General features: G+C 45.3%; 1 protein-coding gene and 1 non-coding gene across 4 annotated transcripts in view, besides 4 other annotated features; one reads left to right on the forward strand and one right to left on the reverse strand.

Annotated features, from left to right (window-relative positions):
• IGSF3 (immunoglobulin superfamily member 3) overlaps positions 1 to 234 on the reverse strand; it is a 93,358-nt gene extending 93,124 nt beyond the window's left edge. For 2 of the 3 annotated variants that reach the window (XM_047419052.1, NM_001542.4), the window contains exon 1: positions 97 to 234. The gene's annotated coding sequence lies outside the window, so the exon portion shown is untranslated. The remainder of the gene's footprint in view (positions 1 to 96) is intronic. The other variant, NM_001007237.3, reaches the window with a different exon arrangement.
• Positions 57 to 446: a silencer, noted in NCBI's record as "silent region_1235". NCBI's record gives its function as "represses an Ori minimal core promoter by ATAC-STARR-seq in GM12878 lymphoblastoid cells {active_cell/tissue: GM12878}" and the evidence as "EXISTENCE:reporter gene assay evidence [ECO:0000049][PMID:35858748]".
• Positions 4,225 to 4,296, forward strand: MIR320B1 (microRNA 320b-1). Its single transcript, NR_031564.2, has one exon. It is a non-coding gene; the product is annotated as a microRNA 320b-1 (primary transcript).
• Positions 19,641 to 20,512: a transcriptional cis regulatory region, noted in NCBI's record as "candidate enhancer chr1.8052 targeted for multiplex CRISPR interference". NCBI's record gives its function as "positively regulates expression of the IGSF3 gene with high confidence and the TTF2 gene with lower confidence in K562 cells {active_cell/tissue: K562}" and the evidence as "EXISTENCE:mutant phenotype evidence [ECO:0000015][PMID:30612741]".
• Positions 19,641 to 21,257: a biological region, named in NCBI's record as "CRISPRi-validated cis-regulatory element chr1.8052". NCBI's record gives its function as "regulatory_interactions: IGSF3 | TTF2".
• Positions 20,305 to 21,257: an enhancer, noted in NCBI's record as "H3K27ac-H3K4me1 hESC enhancer chr1:117230448-117231400 (GRCh37/hg19 assembly coordinates)". NCBI's record gives its function as "activates a minimal SCP1, AML or CMV promoter by ChIP-STARR-seq in primed H9 embryonic stem cells {active_cell/tissue: H9 hESC(primed)}" and the evidence as "EXISTENCE:reporter gene assay evidence [ECO:0000049][PMID:30033119]".

Raw genomic sequence — 25,541 nt, forward strand, 5'->3', positions numbered from 1 at the left:
TCCCCACTCCCCGCTCCCCGCTCCCCGCTCCACGCCTCCCCGCCTCCCTCCCCGGGGCCCCCTCCGGGCGCCGCCCGCGCCCCCGCCGAGCCTGACCTCGCCCCTGGCCCTCTCCCTCCGCGCGCGTCGGACCGTCCTTCAGTCCATCCAGGCGCACGCCTCAGGGGACGCGCCGCTTCCTCTTCTCCCGCAACGGCACCAGCAGCCGCGCTGCGGCCCCTCCCGAGTCCCCGCCCCTCCAGCTCCAGCCCGGCCCGCCGCACTCGGCGAGGCGAGCGCGGGGCCAGGGCGGCGGCCTCGAAGAGAGGCCCGGCCCCGCCCCCGGCCCCGCCCCTGGAGACGCGAGTCCCGGCCCCGGGCCTGGCGGGGGCATGAGGGTGGCCCGGGGCACCGGAGGACCTGGGCAGGGCTGGCGTGTGGGCCGAGCAGCCCGGCAAGTTAATCAGGGCTTCACACCCAGACTCCGGGGCCGCCGGCGAGATGTACAGGCCCTTCCCAAAGCCCAGCTGGCCACCCATAACCTGGGAAGCCGGCGGCACAGAAGCTCGTCCTTCCTCCTGGAAACAAAAACAAAGCCCTTTGGAGACTTGAATCTGTTCACGAAGTGGAACCCCATATTGCACTTCACTCTTGGATAGAATTTGGACTCTGGAAACAGCCTGGGTTCTAACGCCGGTTCCTCCACTTCCTCGCTGTGGCCCTTGGCAAGTTACTTAACCTCTCTGTGCCTCAATTTCCCCATCTGCTATGTGGAGGAAATAACCCTTACTTAAGAGGGTTATGGGAGAAATCTGTGACATACTTGTAAAGCATTTAGAATGGTGCCTGATACATCACAAGTGGTCAGTAAATATAAGCTATTATTATTTTATGACCAACCGCCCTGTAAAGCAAGTGCTTTTTCGTTTTCTCACTACTTACCCAACACACACAACTTGCTGGGTAGACACCGTCACGAGGCGACCAAAGCAGAATAGACCGCCCTGCCCTCATGCAACTTGCAGTCTAGTGGGGACACAGACCATAAAATAGACATGACAAGAAAAGTACAGTGTTGAGGAAGCAAATGCAGAGACCCCAACCCTGTGTTATTGGGGGAGGGGCAAGGAGGAGGGAGCTTTGGTCGGGGTAGGTCCCAGGCTTCTCAGAGGAAAGGAAAACTCGGTTGAATGCCAAAGAACAGAAGGCAGCAGCAGAGGAAGAGACAGAGGGGAGGTAAGGAATCGCAGACTGAAGAAACAGCACCTCTGCAGGCCCAGAAAGGAGCCCAGTTAGAGGACCAGGACAGTCTGCTGGGCCCAAACTTGACTGTAGGAGAGAAGTGACAAGAAATGAGCTGAGAAGAAATCGAGTGCCAGAACCTAGAGGGCATTGTATGGTGTGTTAAGGGGTTGGGACCATTGGGAAGCCACTGAAGGTGTTGAGTAAGGGACTATGGTTATCAGATATACGTTTTATTTTTCATTTTATTTTAAGAGACAGGTTCTCACTCTGTGACCCAGGCTGGAATGCAGTGGTGTAATCTTGTCTCACTGCAACCTCCACCTCCCGGGTTCAAGTGATTCTCCTGCCTCAGCCTCCTGAGTCACTGGGACTACAGGCGTGCACCACCACACCCGGATAATTTTTGTACTTTTAGTAGAGACAGTGTTTCACCATGTTGGGCAGCCTGGTGTTGAACTCCTGACCTGGTGATCTGCCCGCCTCAGCCTCCCAAAGTGCAGAGATTACAGGCATGAGCTACTGTGCCCAACCAGGAATCTTTCCTTGTGTGTTAATTATTACCTCTTTCCCAGAGACACCCGTGACTCTGGCAGCTCTCAGTTCCCATTTGCTAGACTCCTTCATTTATTTATTGAGCACCTACTACGTGTTAAGAAAAGTCTCTGCTCTCATGAAGCTTACATTCTGGTGGGAAACACAGACAATGAAACAAGTATATAATATAATGTAACGTGTTCTGAAGAAAAGTGGAGTATAGAAATGTGTGGGCGGGCACAGTGGCTCATGCCTATAATCCCAGCACCTTGGGAGGCCAAGGCAGGGGGATCACTTGATGTCAGGAGTTCGAGACCAGCCTGGCCAACATGGCGAAACCCTGTCTCTACAAAAAATACAAAAATTAGCCAGCCGTGGTGGTGCACACTTGTGGTCCCAGCTACTTGGGAGGCTGAGGCATGAGAATCGCTTGAACCTGGGAGGCAGAGGTTGCAACGAGCTGAGATCACACCACTGCAGTCCAGCCTGGGCAACAGAGCGAGAGTATCTCCAAAACAAACAAACAAACAAATAAAAAACAGAAAGGAAAAGAAATAGTGTGTATGTTTGGGGGTTCCAGTGGGAAGAAGGACTCTTTGCTAGGTGAGGTGGTCAGAAAAGACCCCTCAGAGGAAGTGACATTTGAGCGAGACCTGATTACAGGGAGTGTGTGAGCGCTGGAGATTTCTGGAGTAAGAAGATTCCAAGTGCAGGGAACAGCAAGTGCAAAGCCCCATAACATGTTCAGAAAATTAAAGGTGTGTTAGTGTGTCTGAAATGGCATAAAACAGAAGGAGAAGGAGGAATGTGATCAGAGAGGTCAAAGAGGCCAAATCTAGTAGGACCTTCTAACCTGAGGAGCTTGGCTCACTCTGGCTGCTGGGTAAGAATAGAGCATCAGATGGTAGGGGTGGACAAGGGACACTGGATGGGAGGTTCTTTCCATTGCGCAGGTGAGAGATGATCACAGCTTAAACTAGGGTGGTGCTGATGCAGGTTGTGGAAATGGGTGGAGTCTGAAAGCATTTAGAAAGCAGAGTCAATGAAATTCTCTGAAGAACTGAATATGGAGGGGGAGAGAAAGAGAAGAGTCAAGGAATCTTCCAGAAGGGGCATCTCAGCCTGCTTTGGAACTCTCTGACCCCCACCAAGGTGTACCCCCATCAAGGTGCAAGACTGTACTTTCTGAGGCCTCTGCCTAGGCCTTCATCCTTGAACCCCTATACTCAATTATCCCTTCTCTATTACTCGTTCTTTCAATCTCAACCTGCCCCTCTTCATACTACTTGGCCCCTTGCATCCTTCTGGATGATCTTTCAACCCTTGACTTCCATCACCACCCAGATGTGTTATGGCTGATTCCCAGCATGGCATTCTTTCTAATTTCCACATCTACGATATGCAAAGAACTGTGCAAAGTGTTGGATGGGGAGACAAAAGTATAATTTAAAAGAATGCCTCTGCCCTCCAGACATAGAAACGATTAAATGAGTCCTGAACAGTGATGTGATGGTGGCCCCTTCAGGAGTTCATCAGCAGGCAGAGAAGTGAATTGGAGGCTGGGTACAGTGGCTCACCCCTATAATCCCAGCACTTTGGGTAGCTGAGGTGGGCAGATCACCTGAGATTGGGAGTTCAAGACCAGCCTGACCAACATAGAGAAACCCTGTCTGTACTAAAAATACAAAAAATTAGCCGGCCATGGTGGTGCATGCCTGTAATCCCAGCTACTCAGGAGGCTGAGGCAGGAGAGTCTCTTGAACCCGGGAGGAAGAGGTTGCAGTGAGCCAAGATCGTGCCATTGCACTCCAGCCTGGGCAACAAGCTCCAGCCTGGGCAACAAGAGCGAAACTCTGTCAGAAAGAAAGACAGAGAGAAAGAAAGGAAGGAAGGAAGGGAGGGAGGGAGAGAAGGAAGGAAGGAAGGAAGGAAGGAAGGAAGGAAGGAAGGAAGGAAGGAAGGAAGGAGAAAGAAAGAAAAGAAAGAAAGAGAGAGAGAAAGAAAGAAAGAAAGAGAGAGAGAGAGAGAGAAAGAGAGAGTCCTAAGGGAAGGAGAGATGTCAAAGGAGAGGAGTGCACCGAAGTCCCCAGTCAGCAATGTCTGGTGCCCGGGCTGAACATTCCAGCTTGCTTCAAAACATTCTGCATTTGAATTTTGAAACCTCTACTGCACCGGCCTGGAATCAGTTGTTTATTTTGGACATTTTGGAAGACTCCTTGATCTTGTCCATCAGGGAGTTAAATGCAGAAGCCTGCAGAAGCCGAGCTGAAGCACAGTGCCAGGGAGTACTGGGGCCTGTGCACCCAGAGCACAGCCTGAAAGAGCACGCACAGCTTCAGCAAAGTGTTGCTGCTGGGAAGGAAGGTGTGGTGTTGCCTGATTTTCCTACTTTTTAAGAGAATCAGGAAATCCACATTAAAAAAAAATTATTCTTAATTTTGCTCATTGGAAACTAGTGTTTCAAAAATAAATTAATCCCTCTCTTTCTAGTTCTTCCTAGAGTGAGGAAAAGCTGGGTTGAGAGGGCAAACAAATTAACTAATTAATTAACTAATTAAACACTTTGGGGGGGCCAACACAAAATTTTTTCGTGGATAAGATATGGCCAAGTGGTTATATCAGTTTGAGGTTTCTAGACCTACCAATAGCTATAACCAAAAGGCTAATATAAAACCACAAATGGCATAGAGTTACATGTTTTAAGGGGAAAAAAATGAAGGGTGTTAGCCAAGTTATCCTTCATCACTTGAAAGAAGATTGAAGCCAAGGCATTTTGTCTAAGGATAGGCTGATACTGTGTACTCACAAGCAACTGATGTTAATTGTACTTAATGTACTTCAAAATGCCAAATGAAAAGAGCAAACCTCCCTACCTCACAAAACAGCCAAGTTGGAGCTAAAAGTGTCCCACTCAACAATTCTCCCGAGAGCCAGCTTTCTTCTGGGTGATTACCCTCCTACACAGGCAAGGATCCCCAGAGCCGAAGACTAGGAATAATTTACACAGGACACCATCTGTCTTTTTTTTTTTTTTTTTTGAGACGGAGTCTCACTCTGTCACCCAGACTGGAGTCCAGTGGTGCAATCTCGGCTCACTGCAATCTCCACCTCCCGGGTTCAAGTGATTCTCCTGCCTCAGCCTCCTGAATAGCTGGGATTACAGGCACTCACCACCATGCCTGGCTAATTTTTTTTTGTATTTTTAGTAGAGATGGGGTTTCACCGTGTTGGTCAGGCTGGTCTCGAACTCCTGACCTCAGGTGATCCACCCACCTCGGCCTCCCAAAGTGCTGGGATTACAGGTGTGAGCCACAGCGCCCAGCCCCCACCATCTGTCTTTAAAAAAAGAGAGAGAGAGAGAGAGAGAGAATTGACTATGATATCTTGAGATCAGGGTAGCCAGTGGGTAGTCCCCAAAGGCTTTATCCACAGGTGGGTGTTCAGAACCTGAGATGCGCCATCTAGCGTTAGAGAAGGGTCTGGATTTGCGCCCCCGCCCCCGATGGAGCTTCGAAGATGACTTTATCCCACAGGGGGAAATAAGATTGTATTCAGCTAACGTTCTTCTTTCCTCACAAAACCCCTGTGCTGTGTTAGCTTATTTTCTTGGATGACGGCGAAGAGCGAATCTGAAGAAGAACGCCTGGGCTTGTGTCCCAGATCTGCACTTATTGACACCTAACTCCCCAGTCAAGTTACTTAACCTCTCTTACTCTGGGTTCCTCATTTGTAAAAGGGGATAACAAATACCACCTGCCCTCGAAGGGAGGCTGGAAGGATTAAATAAGTTGACATATGGAAAGAACTTAGCAAAATGCCTGGTATTTAGTTCTCAGTGTTCATTAGCTATTCTCTTCACTAATCATGTACTTTACATGGTCTAAGGAGAGGAAACCAGGAGTCAGAAATTCTAGCTTCCAGTTGCTGCTTATGCTGTGTTTTGACCTCTCTGGACCTAAGTTTCTTCTGTAAAATGAGGATGATGACCAGGCACGGTGGCTCATGCCGGTAATTCCAGCACTTTGGGAGGCTGAGGCGGGTGGATCACCTGAGGTCAGGAGTTCGAGACCAGCCTGGCCAACATGGTGAAACCCTGTCTCTACTAAAAATACAAAAAATTAGCTGAGCATGGTGGCAGGCACCTGCAATCCCAGCTACTTGGGAGGCTGAGGCAGGAAAATCGCTTGAACCCAGGAGGCGGAGGTTGCAGTGAGCCGAGATTGCGCCATTGTACTCCAGCCTGGGTGACAAGAGCGAAACTCTGTCTCGAAAAAAAAGAAAAGAAAAGAGGTTGATTAGACTAGTGAGAAAGTCCCAAACTGGCTGTGCATGAGTTACTCACAAAGCATTTAAAGTGCAGATTCCCAGGCCCCATTTAGAAGATCCTATTTCTGAACATATGTCTGAGACTAGTCTAAGAAGACTTTTAAAAGGGATCTTTCAGGTCAAAATTTTATGATGGATTTTCACAGATTCATGATCCCATCCCCTCTGTCCAAGTCCATTTTTGATTGGGATTGAGAATTCCCTCAACTGCATAGCTTGACCCCAGATCAAAAGAATCAGAGGAGCTCATCTCTTCTACCAGTATTCCATTCTGAACTTAGTTCTCACCACGGTCAACAGGCTCCCGATCTTTCCCAGCCCCAAACCTTGAGCATTTAATGACTCTCCATTCGTCTTTTCCAAAATCTCAGCAAATCCTGATTTTTTTCTTAACTCAATAGCCTTGCATCTGCATCTCCTTACATCCAGCTCTGGCTCTTGGCCCATGCTCTTCCCTGTATGGCCTCCCTCCCTTTGCTAAAGAATTTAAAGAACCCAAACCTGTGGGTAGGCTGAAAGCCATGACGCTTGTCACGTTGGAGTAGCTTTTCTGAATTAGATTGGCTGACCCCCAATCTTTCTCTCTCAACGTCCCAGGGCAGCTGGGCTGTCTGCCTGGGCTGGCTGCCACTTTCAACCATGCTGTGGTCCAGGTGGAGGACTCTAAGAATTTGACTTGGCCTCTCCAATGAAAAGATGTTAGTTTGATCACAGAGCGTCTGTCCTTGCACAAGGAAAAGTGTGTCACCATATATCTGAGATTCTAAGAATCCAAACAACCATGATATTACAGCAGAATGGAGCCTTGTAGATGGGATGTTTTTTCTGAGACATCTGTTACCCCACTAGTCGCCAGGGCTGTCTGGCCTGATCTGGCTGGCATGTTGCCTCTCCCTGTAAAAGAGTGCAAAGACATTGGCAAATCTCACCCAAATATATATGAATTTGGCTGTCAGTTTCCAAAAGTTCACTTGGAAGTTAATTATTTGGAACTCAGAACATATTTTCCCATAACAGTAATATAATAAATGGTGATTATATTTCCAGGCTGACATGCAAGTGTGTTTAACCCTTAACATGCTTGAAATGCTACATATTTCAGAGGGAAAAAGCAGTATACCAACAATACAGTCAAAATACCAGGGATTCAATAATACTGAAAAATAACGTCAGGACAAAAGCTTAATAAATTCAGTTAACATATAGCACTGTTCTATGCCCTGGGGTGGTAAAGAAAGCAGGCAAGTTTCCTATCCTCATGAGTTTACATTCTTTATTAGTTTCTCTGTTTATGGTCATCTTCCCCTGGGTATGTAAGCTGTCTGTGGGCTGGAATCTGGTCTGTCTTGTTCTCTGGTGTTGGTCCAATGCCTAGAATAATGCCTAGCACATAGGATGTGATCAACAAATATTTGTTGAATGAATACGTTCTAGTTGGAAAGACAATAAACAAGTAAGCAGACAAATATGCAATCATTTGCAGATGTGATAAATGCTATGAAGAAAAATGAAGCAGAGATCATAGGAATGGAGGTGGCTGGGGTTTTTTTTGTTTTTGTTTTTTTAAAGCTAGGGTCTTGCTTTGCCGCCCAGGCTGGAATGCAGTGGTACAATCGTAGTTCACTGCAGCCTAGAACTCCTGGACTCAAGTGATCCTCCTGCCTTAGCTTCCCAAGTAACTGTGCTATGCTGACACCACCACACCTGGCTAATTTTGGAGGTGGCTATTTTTGATGGGGTGGTCAGAATGGCATCTCTGAAGAAATACTACTTGCACAGAGATCTGAATGAAAGAAAGAATCATGGAAGATCTGAGAGAAGAGGGAAGAAGGAGTCTTGTTTTATTTTTTTTTTTTTTTGAGACAGAGTCTCGCACTGTCGCCCAGGCTGGAGTGTAGTGGTGTGATCTCGGCTCACTGCAACCTCTGCCTCCCAGGTTCAAGTGATTCTCCTGCCTCAGCCTCCCCAGTAGCTGGGATTACAGGTGCCCGCCACCATGCCCAGCTAATTTTTTTGTATTTTTAGTAGAGACAGGGTTTCGCTATGTTGGCCAGGCCGTTCTCAAATGCCTGACCTTATGATCCACCCACCTCGACCTCCCAAAGTGCTGGGATTACAGGCGTGAGCCACTGCGCCCGGCCAACTCCTGCTTTTAATATCAGCCCAGGACATTTATACTGATGTTCCCTCTGAGATCAACTAAAATACCTAGAAAAAATTTAAATAATGTGAAAAAATAGTTATTAAAGTGGTGAGGAATTGCCAGGCAAAAACTAGGAGAAGGGGAGGACCATCACTTAAAGCCACTGTTGCCATGCGGACGTCCATGAATTGGAATAAATATCTGCAAAACCAAGCTGTCTTTTGACGTCATAAGTCAAGGGGAATGAACCTCAAAGCCCAGGAAGAAGATGGGGACTCTGTACTTGAAGCTGGGGCCCCTTAGGAGCTGCATCTTCTGGGTAAATGTGAAGCAGAAATAAACCAGTTCTTACTCAGACTTGCAACTTGATTCAAGTCACCTGGATAGTACAAGAGACCTTGAGCCTAGAACTTGGGTTAAAGTGGTTCTAGACAAGAAGCAGTGCCAGGTACCTGGCAGAATCAAGAGGAAAACCCTATCACTCTGAGCTGCAAATTATTTCTAAATGGAATTTCTAGCATGTAGCCACGTATAACCAGGAAGGCCCACAAAACCCTGAGATATTGACATTATCCAACGCAGCCAATAAAACAACTAGGCTTGCTTGTTTCTTGAGGTCAGAGGCTGCCTCTTCAAAGACATAAAATTCAGACTTGAAAATTTGTGCAGAAACTCAAAATCATATTAAGATCTGGGGCAAGAACATTCCAGGCCAAGAAGAGAGCAAGTACAAAGGCCCTGGGGCAGGAATAAGCTTGGCATGCTAAAAAGATAGAAACTCTCTGGCAGGAGCAGAGGGAGCAAGAGTTAGAGGTGGGAGGTGAGTTCCGAGAGGAAGGTAAAGGTGAAGGTCAGATCATGTGGGTCTCAAGGGATTTTAGGTTGTAGTCTGTGTGTCAAGGGAAGCCATTGGAGCAGTGAAGTGGTATGACTTAATTTACTTAATTTTATAAAAGTCAGTTTGGCTTTTGTATAGAAAATAGGCTGTAAGGAAGCAAAAATAGAAGCAAGGAAACCAATTAATAGGTTACTGAATGGTCCAAGTGAGAGATGATGGAGGCTTAGAGTAAGGTGGTGATGATGGAGGTGGTGGGAAATGAATTCAGAATATACAGTGAATTGAACTAGACACGGGGTGTGACAGAAAGCTTGGCATAGCTCTTCACCTCCATGTACTTTCCGTATGACCCCATTCTCCCCCAACCCACATGGTTTTTCCTTCTATCAGTAGACAGCTCTTTAGTTGGCATTTTCAGCCCAAGCCTTTTTTCTGTGTTTTACATCTACAGAGCCAACTGCCTTCTGAAATGTTCCACCTCAATGTCACCAGACCTTATACTGAACATGCCCCAAACTCAGCTTATTATTTTCCCCTCTAAACTGTTTTTTTCCTCCTCAATTTCCTATCTTAGTTGATGATACCACTTTTCACTCAATCATATAAGCCAAAGCCTTTGGATCAATTTTAGACTTCTCACTTCCACATTCAATTGGTAACTAGGGACTGGCAATTCTACCTCCCTAACTTCTTTGGAAGCTGTCAGTTTCTTTCTATTTTCATGGCTTCTGCCCTAGATCAAACCTTCATCACCTCTCTCTAGACTATTGTCATAGTCTCCCACCTGTCTCCCAGGTGATGATCTCAGTCCCTGCCCATCTGTTAGTCTAAAGTATGCATCTTACTAAAGTGTAGAGGTGACACTTCTGGGGCTGCCAATTGCTTAAAGAAGGTTCAGACTCCTTAAAATGGGTTACAAGGGCCTTCCAACCCCTCTTGATCTTTCTCCATTTTCTCTATGCTTTTGATCCTACTATATCCTGCTCTTACCAGTTATCTATGGCTTCCTGGACGTGCCTTTGCATGTGCTAGGTAGTTTGCCAGTATGCCCTTCCTCCTTCTGCTGCCCGTCAACTTGGCAAACTCCCACCCTTCTTGTAGGAACAACTGAAGCATAAGTTTCTCTAAGAAGTATCCCTCCTCCTGTCCTTCCAGAATTGAGTTAATCATCTATGAAAGCTCTGTGTTTAGTATAGACCTCCCTCCAGGGTAGCACTTTTCCACTTAGGTTATTTTTTACTTAGGTTTTTTTTTAATGTATGTTTTACCTACTGAGTTTCTTGAGGTCAGAGGCTGCCTGATATGACTATGTCTTCTGCTCCCTACACTATGCCTGGCACATAGCAGGCACTCAACTAAAGCTTTTTTTTTTTTTTTTTTTGGAGACAGGGTCTTGCTCTGTTACCCAGGAGTGGAGTGCAGTGGATTGGATTGGACATGGGGTGTGATCTCACTGCAGCCTCAACCTCCTGGGCTCAAGTGATCCTCCTACCTCAGACTCCCAAGTAGCTGCAACTACAGGCATGCACCACAAAACCCAGTTAATTTTTAAATTTTTTTGTAGAGATAGTGTCTCACTATGTTGCTAGGGCTGGTCTTGAACTCCTGGGCTCAAGCAATCCTCTCACCTTGGCCTCCCAAAGAGTTGGGATTATAAGCATGAGCCATTGCACCTAGCCTCAACTAAAGCTTTATGGAATGGATGAAGGAGTCGTCAAATGAACAAATACACCAGACTATACACTCAATCTCACAGAGCAGATCTCCAGCCCCTAGAGGAAAGCTATAGCAACCAGTGTTGGGGACATTTCATGAGCTTTCATTTGGGTGACTCTAGCCATGGCATCTGCCTCGCTCTCTAGCTGCTTTAGATGGATGGTTCACACAAAAAGTAAGAGTTCAAAATTTTTGTAGCTACTTGTACCCAAGAGCCTTAGTTACTGATTACCCTCTTTTGTGCCATACACAAATCCCATGCCCAGCCCTTAGGACTTACCCTGAAGCAGCATTTCCTCCTAGCTTGGGTGATGCTGACAGTATTTAGGGTCCCACAGATGTACCTTAAGTTCACAGCACAAATTATCACACATGAATGTTAACACTTATCTTTCATAGTCATGTGTAATTTCTACTATAGTCCATGACCCCCGCATCTTCCCCCTTTTCCCCTCACTTATAATATGCTATTTATAGAAGAAGGAATACAGAGGAACATAAAAATGAGACAGCTAGGAAGAGAGAGGATGAACCAGAGAAGAAAAATTGGGGAAAGGAAGGAATAAAGGGAGGACCAGAAGGGAAAGAAAGGAAAAAAGAAAGAAGGAAGAGAGAAAGGAGAGAAGAGAGAACAAAGGAGAGAGAGAGAAAAGAGAAAGAAAAAATAAAGGAGAATAAGGGGAAGAGAGAGGAAAATAAAGGGAGTAGAAAGAAGGAAGGAACAGAAGTAAAGAGAGAAAGAACAAAGAGAGAACTTTAAGCATCCACACACGTCTGTGAAATTTATCTGAAGTATCTCTACTTAAACAGCAGGAACCTCGTGGCCGATATTAAACATTTAATTGACTAGAGAAACCAATCATAGAACAAAGCCCCTTTTCTTTGTGACCTATCATATGATAACCCAAACACAGGAGTTGCTATTTTTCTCCAGAAACTATCAGCCACAGCCATCTGTCTTGGTCCTAGACTGTTTAAAAACATTTTTTTTTCTTTAAACATGTGTGTGCGTATGCTTCAGCCACAGAACCAAAGTAGCCTCCATTGCAACAATGGCCGACTTGTGAGATTCAGCAGTGGTTCCCCCAGCCTGCTTCTGGCCACCAGATGTCAGACAGTCAGTGGTTCCCTTTCATCCTCACCCACCGCAGAGCCATTTCAGCCTGTGTAGGGATGGGGGTTTGCAGCCCTTTCTGAGCCCCACTCCAGATCTGAGTGGGGCCTAATCTTGCCTGAGGACAGCTGTGGGGGAAGGGAAGGAACAAAGCCACCTAGGAGTGGAGCTGGGATGGAGTTATATTTCTTCCAAAAGTTCAGCAACTGCTGCTTATTAAAAAGCTTGTTTTCTGCCTGGGAATCCAGTCTTTAGCATGAGAGAATAAAAGGACAGACATAATAGTGGGATTTGAAAGGAGCACTGTGAGCTGGGGACAAGGAGGGGGGCACACAGAGTCCCCCTTCCCTGGGTACTGGCCGTGCAGTCCAGTACTGTACCATAGAACGAGAGGCAGCTGATGGTTCCTGACCCCATCACCCCACCACCTCTTCCATCTTTCTCTTCCAGTTCTTTCTTCTCTATCTCTTCCCCTTCTTTTTCCTCCTCCTTCTCCTCCTTTTCTTTCATAACTGTTGACTCAAGTCAGCAATGGAACCACAGAAAGGCGGTCAGAAGTCGCACCACACAAAGATGCTGATCAGAAGGCCACAGAGCTGCCAGCCCTTCCTCTGGGGCAAAAGATAATGTAAAAAAGACAAATGATAGTTCAGCTTACTAGTTTAGAGCTCAGGCAGGGTGTGGTGCCTCATGACTGTAATTCTAGCACTTTGGGAGGCCGAGGCAAGAGAATCCCTTGAGCTCAAGAGTTCAAGACCAGTCTCAGCAACATAGTGAGAACTCATCCTTCCCAAAAATTTAAAGTTAGTGGCATGTGCCTATCATCCTAGCTAGTCGGATGGCTTGAGCCCAGGAAGTCAAGGCTTCAGTGAGCTATGATCATGCCACTGCACTCCAGCCTGGGTGACATAGCCAGCCTTGGTTTCCTCATTGGCAAAATGAAGATAATAGCACCTGCTTTATATAAGGAGATATAGTAGTGCTTTTTCCCCATATTGTAGATATTGGGGTTAGTGTGAGGAATACAGGAATAATACACTAGGTGAAATATATAGCACATAGTAAATGCTCAGTGAATTATACACCTACTACATGCCAGGCTGTATTCCAGGTGCTGAGTGAACAAAAGAGACAAGAAGAAAATCTTGCCCTCATGGAGTTAACATTCTAGTAGGGGGAGACAGACAATAAACAAGTAAATAAATATATAGCACATCAGATGATGAAAAGTGAAAGGAGGAAAATAAAGCCAGAAAGGGGATAAAGGAGTGCTAGGAGAAGAGGGGTTGCAGTTTTAAACAGAGCAGCACAGACTCCCTGCAAATGTGATTTTTTGATTAAAGACCTAAAGGAGGTGAAGGAGCCAAGCACGCAAATGTTGAAGGGAAGAGCATTCTGGGCAGAGGGAACTGCAAGTTGCAAGGCCCTGAGCCAGGAGTACACCCAGCAAGATTGAGAAATATCTAGGAGGTTGGTGGGCTGGAGCTCAGTGAGGGAGGGAGAGCAGTAGGAAGTGGGGCAGGAAAGGCAATGGTGCGTGCGCACAGGAGGGGAAGTGCAGCACGGAGTGCAATCATGTAGGAACTTGTTAGCCATTGAAAACTCTGGGGAGTTTTAAGGAGAGGAATGATAGAATCTGATTCATGTTTTCAGAGGATTGCTCTGGCTGCTGTGCTGCAAATAGGCTATGGGGATCAAGAGTGTCAGTAGGGAAACCAGTTAAAGGTCAGTGCAATAAGCCAGGTGAAAGATGGTGGTGGCTTGGACTAGGTAGTGGAGAAGGAGGTAGTGATAAGGGGTTGGATTCAGGATATAATTTTTAAGGAAGAGCTGTCAGAGTTTGGTGATGGATTTAACAGGAAGTGTGAAAATTAGAGAGGAGTTCAAAAATGTCTCTGAGGTTTTTGGCCTGAGCAATGGAAAGGATGGAGTGGCTATTTGCTAAGATGAGGAAAACTGTAAGTGGAGCAAATTTGGGGGTGGGGATGAGATGGAGTGGGTGGTAGATGTTATGAATTATGTTTTGGACATTGTGAGAGATTATTACCTTAATAGCCCCCAGTGAGTCATGTACTGGGCCTTATATACTGGGGCTTGCCCTCTTAGAATGCTGCCTTGGCCTTAAAAGGAATCCTACTGAAGAACCATATGGAGGACAGCCAAAATGCCCTGGTCAATAGCCTCAACTAATATCTAGACACATAAGCAAGGACATCTTAAACCATCCAGTAAAGCTCCAAAAGACTTCAGTGACGTGAATGACCCAAGGCAAGAACAGAAGAGCCACCTAGCTGAGCTCAGACTAAATTGCCACTAAACTTCAGAGTTTAATTATGTAGCAATATGTAACTGGTACAATCATGTTAAATTTGAGATGCCTTGTGCACATTCAGATTAGGATGTCAAGTAGGCTGTTGGATGCCTGAGTCTAGAATCTAGGGAAGATGTCCAGGCTGAAAAGACAGTTCAGGAATTATGAGCATATAGATGATAAAGTCATGAGACTGATAAAAACAGCAAGGAAGTGAGTAAAGGTAGAGAAGTTTAAGGACTGAGCCCTGGGGAAGCATAACATTTAGAAAGGAAGAGGAATCCCTAAAAGTGAAAAAGGACGAGCCAGTGCAACAGAAGGAAAACCAGGCATGTTTGGTGTCCTGGAAACGAAGTACAGAATGTGTTTCTGGGAGGAACGAGTAAGCAATTGTGTTGGATACTGCTACCTAATCAACTAAGATGAGGACTGAGAATTAATCATTGGATTTAGTCGAGGCATGTCTTTGGTTACATTGAGAGAAACAATTTTACTAGAGTCCGAAGTGTGGAAGCCCGCTTAGGAGGAGTTAAAGAATGAGAGGAGAAGAATTAAAGCCAGGGCTATAGATAACCCTTTTAAGGAATTCTCATATAAAGAAAAATGGGGAAATGGGTCCACAGTGGTAAAAGCATCTGTGGTTAAGAGACAGGTTTTAAGATTGAGAGCATATTATTTATAGATATGAAAGATCTAGTAGAGAGAGGAAAATCAAGTGATGAAGAATACAGAACAAAGATTTGCTGGATGATATCCTTGAATAGATGAGTGGGAATGGGACCTGTTGAAGGCATTGGCTTTAGCTGGGAGCAAGGATGAATCTTATATAATGTGAGAGGAAAGGCAGAATATGTGGGCACTGACATAAGTTGGTGGGCACATGTAGATAGAAGAATATAAAATTTTTTTGCTTATGTTTTCTCAGCAAGGTCATTGGCTGAGCTTGAGGATGGGGGAGGGTTGTTGGAACGTTGAGGAGAAAGAAGATAAGAAATTCTCGTCTAGAAATGAACAGTATCCATTGTTATTATCTTCCTGTAGGAGGCAAGGGCTCCCAACTTACTCATTACATCCAAGAGCTCAAGACTCCTGTTCTGATGGGCCCAGGCTTGATATAGCCTGTAATGTCATGAGATCTTGGCTGGCACTATTATGCCTAAACAAAGCCATTTCTTACTTTCTCTTTTGTTCATGTGGTGGTCATGTGCTTAGGGGAATCTGAGTCTTTTCCCTGACCAAGGCTGTTAATCTTGGTTAGTGTGAGCCAATCAAGATAGTTTTATTTTCTTGGCCAGCAATTCTTTTAGGTACAAACCTGTGTTACAATTCTGACCAATAATATGTGACAGGACATCTGCCGGTTGTCTCTTAGAAAAGATTTTCCTTTCTGATAACAACAGAATCATGGAAGGAATGTTTCTTCTGTTTCTTTTCTTTGCTCTATGTGTTGAAACTGGATCTGCAGCAGCCATGTTTTACCAGGACTAAGCGTGGCCCACAGGCTGAAGAAGGCAGTTCTGTAATGAGTCCCTGAACCACTGAATTCAATCCTGGAGCCTGCCTGCCTGCAGACTTCTTAATACGTGAAATATTGTAGGCCGGTCGCGGTGGCTCACGGTTGTAATCCCAGCACTTTGGAAGGCCGAGGCAGGCGGATCACGAGGTCAGGAGATCCAGACCATGGTGAAACCCCGTCTCTACTAAAAATACAAAAAATTAGCCAGGAGTGGTGGCGGACGCCTGTAGTCCCAGCTACTCGGAGAGGCTGAGGCAGGAGAATGGCGTGAACCCTGGAGGCGGAGCTTGCAGTGAGCCGAGATTGCGCCACTGCACTCTGGCCTGGGCGACAGAGCAAGACTCTATCTCAAAAAAAAAAAAAAAAAAAAAAAAAGAAATATTGTTATATATTTTCCTTATTGACTATGCCTTTTTTTGTTGGTTCATCTGTGATTTACAGTGGGAATAAATGTGATGCATAGATCATCAGCAAAATGGATGCAGAATTCAGCTTGGGACCATTGAGAACACAAATTCAATTCAGTGCAATATAGACACAATGGGAACAATGTACCAGGCACAGTATTAGACACAGAAGAATAAAACTTCCTCACCATGAATATCTTATGACAAATATATATGTGTGTGCATTGTAAACTGGGGATAATAAAAATATCAAAATTACTATTTTAGAAAGCAGAATATGTTTAGTGCCTTGAAAGAGATATAGGAAGTCAAAGAAGATAGTGATAACATCCATTTGGAGAAACTGGGGTAGTGTCGATCAAGGAAGTAAGGACTAGAAAATAGGGAACAGTAGGCCTGGCAAGGTGGCTCATGCCTGTAATCCCAGCATTTTGGGAGGCTGAGACAGGTGAATCACTTGAGGCCTGGAGTTCGAGACCAGCCTGGACAACATGGTGAAACCCCGTCTCTACTAAAAATACAAAAATTAGCCAGATGTGGTGGTGCACGCCTGTAATCTCAGCTACTAAGGAGGCTGAGGCACGAGAATCACTTGAATCCGGGAGGTGGAGGTTGCAGTGAGCTGAGATCATGCCACGGCACTCCAGCCTAGGTGACAAAGTGAGACTCTGTCTCCAGAAAAAAAAAAAAAAAAGAAAGAAAATAAATAAATAAGGAACAATAATAATAAACATACAGGCAAGAAAGTGGACTGGTCTGGAAAACTTCGTGGTAAGATTGGTTTGGCTGACTTACAGAGTGCGGAGGGGGGTAATGAAAATAATGTTGGAAAGTTACATTGGGTCAGGATTTGAGAGGCCTTAAATGGTAGGCCAAGAAATGTAGGTTTGCTTAGGTTGGAAATGGCAGCCCCTAGAGATTTATTTATTTATTTATTTTAATAGGAAAGTAACATGGCCAGAGCTGAGTCTGGGAAAAGTCATCTTTAGCAGGGGGACTGAAGGCATTTCTTTTTTATCCAACAATAACTAATCATTTTAGTCATTTACCACACCCTCAGTATATGCAGATGTTTAATATGAACACATCTGAAGCCTCAGCAAGAATAAACACGAGAGAATTACATTCTTAGACCCAAGGAATGAGAGGCAGCATCAAGACAGAGAATCTGCCTTGGCCTCAGGCAAGCCTCTTCAGCCCTTTTCTCTGTGTCCCACCCACTTCATTTAGGCTCCCTGGAACTTCAGAGAGCCCTCATTCCAATTTAAATCTTCCCCCAGAGTCCAAATTTGCACGAGGACAGTAGTTCTATTTCTCTGGTCTCCAACACTTTTTTTTTTTTTTTTTTTGGAGACATGGTCTTGCTCTGCTGCCCATGCTGGAGTGCAGTGGTGCAAATCATAACTCACTGCAGCCTCAATCTCAGCTCAGGCGATCCTCCCACCTCAGCCTCAGGAGTATCTGGGATTACAGATGCATTCCACCATACTTGGCTAATTTTCTTTTAATTTATTTTTTTGGTTGAGACAAGGTCTTGCTATATTGCCCAGGCTGGTCTCGAACTCCTGTGCTCCAGCAATCCTCCCACCTGGGCCTCCCTAAGTGCTGAGATTACAGGCCTGAACCACCACACTCAGACCTTCAACATTTTCATACAGTGGGACTCCTCCAATCAGTGATGGTACCCTTTGCAGAACATCGTGAAATACTGATGTATTTAAATCCAAAATACTGCCTATGAATTAGCACAAAATTACATATTTAGCTACTTTGTGCTTAAATTGCTTAAAAATGTTAAATTTGGGCCAGGCATGGTGGCTCACGCCTGTAATCCCAGCACTCTGGGAGGCCGAGGCTGGCAGATCATGAGGTCAAGAGTTTGAGACCAGCCTGGCCAACATGGTGAAACCCTGTCACTACTAAGAATACAAAAATTAGCCAGGCTTGGTGGCACATGCCTATAATCCCAGCCAGTTGGGAGGCTGAGGCAGGAGAATTGCTTGAACCCAGGAGGCAGAGGTTGCAGTGAGCCGAGACTGTGCCACTGCACTCCAGCCTGGGCAACAGAGCAAGACTCTGTCTCGGGGGGAAAGAAAAGTTAAATTTAATTAAACTTACAGACACTAACACATAATATAAAACCACAACCGTAAGCCCAAACACCTGTCCATAGAAAAAAACTGTCAAACTAAGCACTGTTGGCTATGTCTGTGTCCATTAATATTCATTTGTTACTTGCTAATTCTGTCATCTGCTAGCACTGGCCAGTGGACAAGGAATAACAGGTGCCAAAGATTTAATAAAAATTTAGAGAGAGAAAACTAAAAGCTGAAGATACTCTATCCATTAACTTAATTTTTCTGGGAATTAGTATATTTATTCATTCAACAAAGATTGATTGAGCAGCTACTGTGTGGCAGGCACCATGCTAAGGAGAGGCGACACGAAGAAGTAAGGTACAGTCCTGTCTTCCAGAGATGTCTAGGAGGGGAGACAGCCAAGAAATGCTAACGAGCAAACAGAAAGTGAGTATTAAGGTGGAAGTGATGCAGGGCCCTCCAGAGCTCTGGGGTTAGAGAGGGCTTCAGAGAGGATGTCATAAGAGGTAAGTTTTTTTTCTGAGAGGCAGTGTCTCACTCTGTTACTCAGGCTAGAGTGCAGTAGTGCGATCATAGCTCACTGTAACCTCAAAACTCCCGGGCTCAAGCAATCCTCCTGGGTCGGCCTCCCAACATGCTAGGTTTCCACAACTGTTAGCGGTAAGCCTGGAAGATAGACTCAAAGTATCTAAGCCAGTGCTTCTCAGAGTGTGGGGTTTCGTAGAGCAGCAAATTGTCTGTGGAATTGGCGGTCGGGGTTGCCAGGACTAAGAGAAGGTTATCAACTGTTACATTTGTGAAATAATGTTTATTGAGAATATCATCCACCATCATTATAATTTTATAGAAGAAAGGACATTTTCAAACCAAAAAGAAAAAAATAAATAAAATGGACATAATATCAGGCAAAAATGAAGTGTCCTTCAATTGGTATGAATTTAGTTTTGTGAAGAACTCATTACATTGTCTTTATTTGTCTTGTTTCAGGGAGAGAAGCTGGAGAAGTTGCCACGAGCAGAGTAAAGGGACATGGGCAGAGGTCCTTAGGCATCTGGTCTTCATTTTTTCCCTGGGGCTGAGGTTCTAGCCACTCTGGGTTTGGGGAAGCAGAACCAACAACCTGTCCCCAGGGTCACATGATCTTCCTCGGCCCTAGGCACTGTGTCCTGGGGAGTACCAGGAGTGAGCAGGACTTTCTCCATAAAAAATACTAAAGATTCTAGTTTATGACTACATTGGTATAAGGAAGACTATAATCTTTGACCTCCAAAAGTTTATTATTTTTCTTCTGACATTAAAACAAGTAAAACCTTTTTCTGGACCCCTAAAAGTGTTGTGTGCCTAAGACATGCCCGTTCTAAACTTTAGGCAGCGTGCAGTAGGGTGGGGTCCAAAAAGTCTTCCTTATCACCATAATCCCCTCCCCATTCTGCCTGTGGAGAAGTCTGGCCCTGCTTGGGGAACAAGGATCATATTAGAGGAATAAATGCTTGAGGAATGAATTCACAAGATGGCCAAATACCACAGAGGTGTGCACATCTGGAGATGAGCACAGTCAGGACTAGACACTCCAGGGGGTGAAGGGCCACTTGCCAATGGCTGGCAGGTCCTGCTGGCCACATCCAGCCCCAGGGACAGGAAGCAGCAGGGACCTGCCCTGTCTGGAAACTCTGCCAGATGGCCTAGCATCCCAGGCTTGTTCTGCTCTGCATTTTATCAGCCAGGGCCAGAACCAGCCTTTCATAATTCAGAGCCCCTTGGGACCCTGTCCCAAATACTGCCTCTAATGTGGACTTGATTCACTAAGGCTTAACTTTAATCTGTCCTTTTTTGTCCAAGCCTCAGGTGTGTGTGTGTGTGTGTGTGTGTGTGTGTGTGTGTGTGTGTATGTGATGTTCACATGATAGGGAAGAAATAACCGGCATTTCTTCTCCTTCTTTCTGCTCAAAGGATGTCTTATCTAGGATATGCAGGGCTGGAGGGCAGGGACAACAGTCATTTAAATGCGGGGGCCTTTGAGATCACTGGTGGGAAGACAGTGAAGAGAGAAAAGAAGACTGGGAGGGAGAAGGAAAGGGGGAGAGGGAGGAGACACAGTAGGAACACACAGCAGGGGACCAGTTAATGTTTTTGAAAGAATGATGCAATCCTGACAAATATGTGTACTCTGATATGTTATCCTAGGCTCCCCAGTTTGGCCTAGGTAGAAGTCGAAAAACAAATGCAGGCTGGGCACGGTGGCTCATACCTGTAATCCCAGGACTTTGGGAGGCTGAGGCAGATGGATCACTTGAGATCAGGAGTTCAAGACCAGCCTGGCCAACATGGTAGAACCCCGTCTCTACAAAAAATACAAAAATTACTAGCTGATCGTTGTAATGGGTGCCTGTAATCCCAGCTACTCAGGAGGCTGAGGCAGGAGAATCGCTTGAACCCAGGAGGTGGAGGTTGCAGTGAGCCAAGGTCACGCCACTGCACTCCAGCCTGGGAGACAGAGCAAGACTCTGTCTCAAAAAGCAAAACAAGGCCAGGCTTGGTGGCTCGCGCCTGTAATCCCAGCACTTTGGGAGGCTGTGGCGGGTGGATCATTTGAGGTCAAGAGTTCGAGAACAGCCTGGGCAACATGGTGAAACCCCATCCCTACTAAAAATACAAAAATTAGCCGGGCGTGGTGGCGCGTGCCTGTAATCCCAGCTACTCAGGAGGCTAAGGCAGGAGAATCACTTGAGCCTGGGAGGCGTAGGTTGAAGTGAGCTGAGATCACGCCACTGCACTCCAGCCTGGGCGACAGATTGAGACTCTGTCTCAAAATAAATAAATAAATAAAAATAACACACTTCTAAAATATTATCACGCTAAAATAATTTAGCATTAATGCAATAGCATTCTTTGATATATAGTCCAGCTATCTCAAAATATCTGTTTTATAGCATTTTAATAATCCAGGATCCACTCAACTTTACTCATTGAAAATTGATTGTTATATCTTCTTAGTTTCCCTCAACCTAAAAGAATCTTCCTGCCTCTATTTACTATTTATTTTGTGTTAAGGATACTGGCATGTACTTTAATTTAATTTTTTTTTTTATTTTGAGACCCTGTTGCTCAGGCTGGAGTGCGCTGCAGCCTTGACCTCCTGGACTCAAGCAGTTCTCCCACCTCAGCTTCCCGAATAGCTGGGACCGCAGGCCCACACCACCATGCCCAGCTAATTTCTTTGTTTTCTCTAGAGACAGGGTCTCATTATGTTGCCCAGGCTGGTCTTGAACTCCTGAGCTCAAGCAATCCTCCTGCCTCAGCCTCCCAAAGTGCTAGGATTACAGGCATGAGCCACCACGCCCAAACAACACTGGCATTATTAGAGCTCACTGGTTGTCTTGTTGAACATCACACAATCTAGATTTTGCTGATGGTTTCCTCGTGATGATATTTAGGCTAAATGCTTGAGGCAAGAACACTCTGCAGGCGTTACTGTGTGCTTCCTGCTGCACATATCAGGAGGCCCTTCATGTTTATGATGCTCAGTTATTTGGTTAAGGAGATATCCATCAGATCTCTCCATTGTAAAGATACCTTTTGACCTTTGTAATTAATAGTCACACTGTGGATGTTAAAACTGTTTTTAGGGGCAAAAGTCATCTATTTTTCCTGGAAAAACCATCTTTCTTCCATTGTCTCATCAAAAACCCCACTGCCAGTATGGTGTGCTTATGGCTGACAGGAGCATCCAAGAGGCTGCTCTCATAGCATGAAGATTCATGATTGTAATCGTTAATAATCATAACATTTCCTAATGTCTAGTAGCATTTTACAGTTTATAGAGCATTTTTGCACATGTTGCAGCTTTTGATTTTCCCCAAATTTCCTTTTCATTGTCCAAGAAGTAAGACTGCTTAGAATCATTCACTTGTTCATTCACCCATCCTTTCATCCAGACCACATGCCAGCCACTGGTCCAGAAGCCAGGGCTTTCATAAATGAATGAAGGGATCAGATCTAGGTGGAGAGACCAACAGGCAATCTCTTCCCAAACAGTGTCACTGCAGTGGTAAGACAAGCTCTGGGGTAGAGAACATGGGGATGAAAGGAACCAGCTGAAAAGAGAAGCATAGAGAAATAGAAACTGAGGCTCCAGCCTGCCCTATCCACTGTCACATGAGAAACTCTATTTCTCTCCTTTTTAAAGCACTGTGAGTTGGGTTTTCTGTTTCCTGCAGCCAAGTGCATCCTAACTGATACTCTCAATGTTCTCACATTGCAGATGAGGAAACAAAGTCCCCAGAAGTAAAATGATTTTGCCAAATGACACTCAGCTAGCAAATGCCCGAGATGGTTCTTGATCATGGGTGCTTGATTCTAAGTCCCTCACTTGTGTCCTCGGGGAAGAGACAGGAAGAGCCCCTGTTGTCTAAGTCTTGATGGACTCCCTGGCTCTCCTCTTCTGTACACAGTTCAGAGATGGCTAAACAGAAGGAAGATGCCCAGTAACGCTTACTCAGGTGCTCTGAGTGCTGGTCACTTCCCCCTTGGTGGCTAAGTGGTGTGCATTTCAGGATACAGGGCACTTTCATTAAGTTTAGCACTATTCACATGGACAGATAGTAGGTGTGCATGTGCAATCAACCCAAATAGATGAACATACTGTCTGAAGGCCACAAAGTGCCCCATGAATAATTCCCTGTAAATACACATCCAATGCCCACACTTCAGAGAGACTGATTGAATGTGTAAAAGACTGAATGGCTCAGGGAACAAGAATTAATGGATGGAAGGAATCTATCATGGTTGAGGTCAAAGAGTAGGCTCAATGTAGCAGAGAGCCAGGCTCACCACCCTGCTGTGAATTTGAAGTAGGGGGGCAATTAGGCATGAGCTATTTGTAGACAGAAGGAAAAACAGTGAACTAAATGGCTTAGGCTTAGTTCCACGTGCAGGCTGGATGCAGAGGACTGTCATCCTCAATACAGGCTGCAAAATGATGCCAAGGGTCACGCTGGTGGAGGGCAGGGCCCAGTGCTGGCAACACTTAAAGTACAACTTCTGAGCTTTAAAAGAGACATTGTATGTATAGATCAACAAGAAGGTCAAGAATTCTAAAATCCTGACTGCTAATTGTCCCACTTCACCTTAAGTAATTTTGCTAGAGAATGCTGATGCAGCCTGTATTTGTGGTGTGTGTGTGTGTATGTGTGTGTGTGTGTATGCATGTTTGTGTGTGTGTGTAGAGGAGGTAGTAAGAGGGAAAAAAATGTGGCATTTTTGCCAGCATTTGCCTTTTTTTTTAGTCGTTTTTTTCTTGCTGTTCTCCACCCCTACAATAAGCTGAGCCAGTGTAAGTTACAATTTATTAGCTGGTTGCTATGGGTTACACCAGTGCTCCGCAGATATTCCCTTCAGAAATAGTAACATTTAATGTAATGTAAAACAGAACTACTGTATCACCACTTGCTTGGCTTCTGCTGGCTTGCAATATTATATCCTTCCCTGCTGAGCTTGAAGCCTCAGGAAATTAGCTGGTGCCATTATTTTATGGTGATGATGGGTGTCTGTGATACCCCCTTTGTTTCATGAAAAAGACAGCCTGCAAACCGAGGGTGTCTGCAGGACCTGGGGTGCCAACTTGCAGTGCCATGCAGTGCCCAGAGACTGACTGTTTGTTTCATCTGCCTGTTCATTATTTAAGGCAGTCTTCTCAAAGCTGAGTCCCTGTGGGCCCGGGGCCAGTTACCATTTCAGGGAGGCTAGTAGCAACTACCAATGAATTTTATTTATTCTGCTATCTGTATAATATTTGTGGCAGGCTGGTTAACAAAAATTTGTGGGCTGGTAAATTTTCAGGCTAATTTAACTGTAAGAGTGATTTGAAGGAGAAAGGTTAGAAGATGGTGACACTGAGTAAAGCCATTCAAGTTAAAATAAACAGAACAGAAGAGAAACGGGTGTTTTCAGACCACCCACATTCTCTCTTTTCTGCCTGCTCTCTCCATTGCCCACCCACCTAAACACTAGCCCTCTCAGAGTACACCTTTTCCTACCTGTGTGCTCAGTCTCTTCTCTCACCTGCCTACGGAGGTGTGCTTTCTTTTATGGGCAGGACACTGGGTTGCTCTACAGACTGCACCTCCCTAACAGGGTCCACTAGTGTAGGAGGAGTGCTAGGGTGGTAAACAGAATGTGGGCTCTGAATGATCTAGGTTCAAAGCCTGGCTCTGCCACTTTCTGGCTATGTGACCTTGGACAAGTTCCTTGACCCTTTGAAGCCTCCGTTTCCATATTATAAAATGGGATAACCATATTTACCTTGTGTGCATATTGTTAAGGATCTGAGGGCGCAGTGTCTGTGTAATCACTTAGCACAGTGCCTGGCCCATTGTAAAAAGTGGTCTTGCCTACTCTGCGATGTGGGATATTGTTGTTCCTGCTGCCTGAGAGACTCTTGGCTAGCTGGTCCTCCTGGGCGTCTCCTGCTTTTCATTCAAGACTCAGCTCAGACACAACCTCTTGTGAAACCAACTTAGCTACCCTCCTGCCTGTCCTCTTTCAAGCCATGTCCCTGCTGCTCTTCGCCGCTGCTGTGGCACCTCTGCATGCCTCTGTTGTAATGTGTCCATGCTAGATTGTCATTCTCTGTTGATAAGTCTTCCTCCCACTGGACTCTGAGCTTCTTCGGGGTTGGCAGCTTGCCTTTCTGATCTCTCCTCCTAGTGCAGTGCCCGCACACATAAGTTTTCAATGAAGTTTGTTGGGTGTATGAATGAAGTAAAGAAAAAACTAATTCATTAATTCATGTTTACCTACAGTATATCTGGTGGATAAAAGCCGTGGCTCTATTCTACAGGCCAGTGGCAGCCACCAGGACTAAGGGACAGTGTATGCCATAGTCTCTATCGTTCAAATGCCTTTGGCTGTAAGTAACAAAAGATGCAACTCACAATGGCTTAATAATAGGAAAATTTATTATGCTCCATAACAAGAAATCCAGAGGTATGCAAGCTCCAGAGATGGTTAATTTAGTTCTTCAGTAATGTCATAGAAGACCCAGTTTCTTCCAGCTCGCACCCTAGCTATCTTCATCGGGTTGCACTTTTCCTCACGGTAACTCTCCTCAGAGTGAGAAGTGAGGCACAGCTGTACTAAGCAGATCTAATCCAGATAATATGACAGTGCCTGCTTCTCTTTTTACAAAGGGGAAAACCTCTTTTAGAACCCCCGGCCCTACCTAGTAGACTTCTGCTCATGGTTTTGGTCAGAACTAAGTCATGGGTCCTTTTGAAAAATCAGTTATTAGCACAGGGAAAGAGGGAATACTATGA

This window comes from Homo sapiens, chromosome 1 (assembly GCF_000001405.40).
Source record: "Homo sapiens chromosome 1, GRCh38.p14 Primary Assembly".
Taxonomy (NCBI): Eukaryota; Metazoa; Chordata; class Mammalia; order Primates; family Hominidae; genus Homo; species Homo sapiens.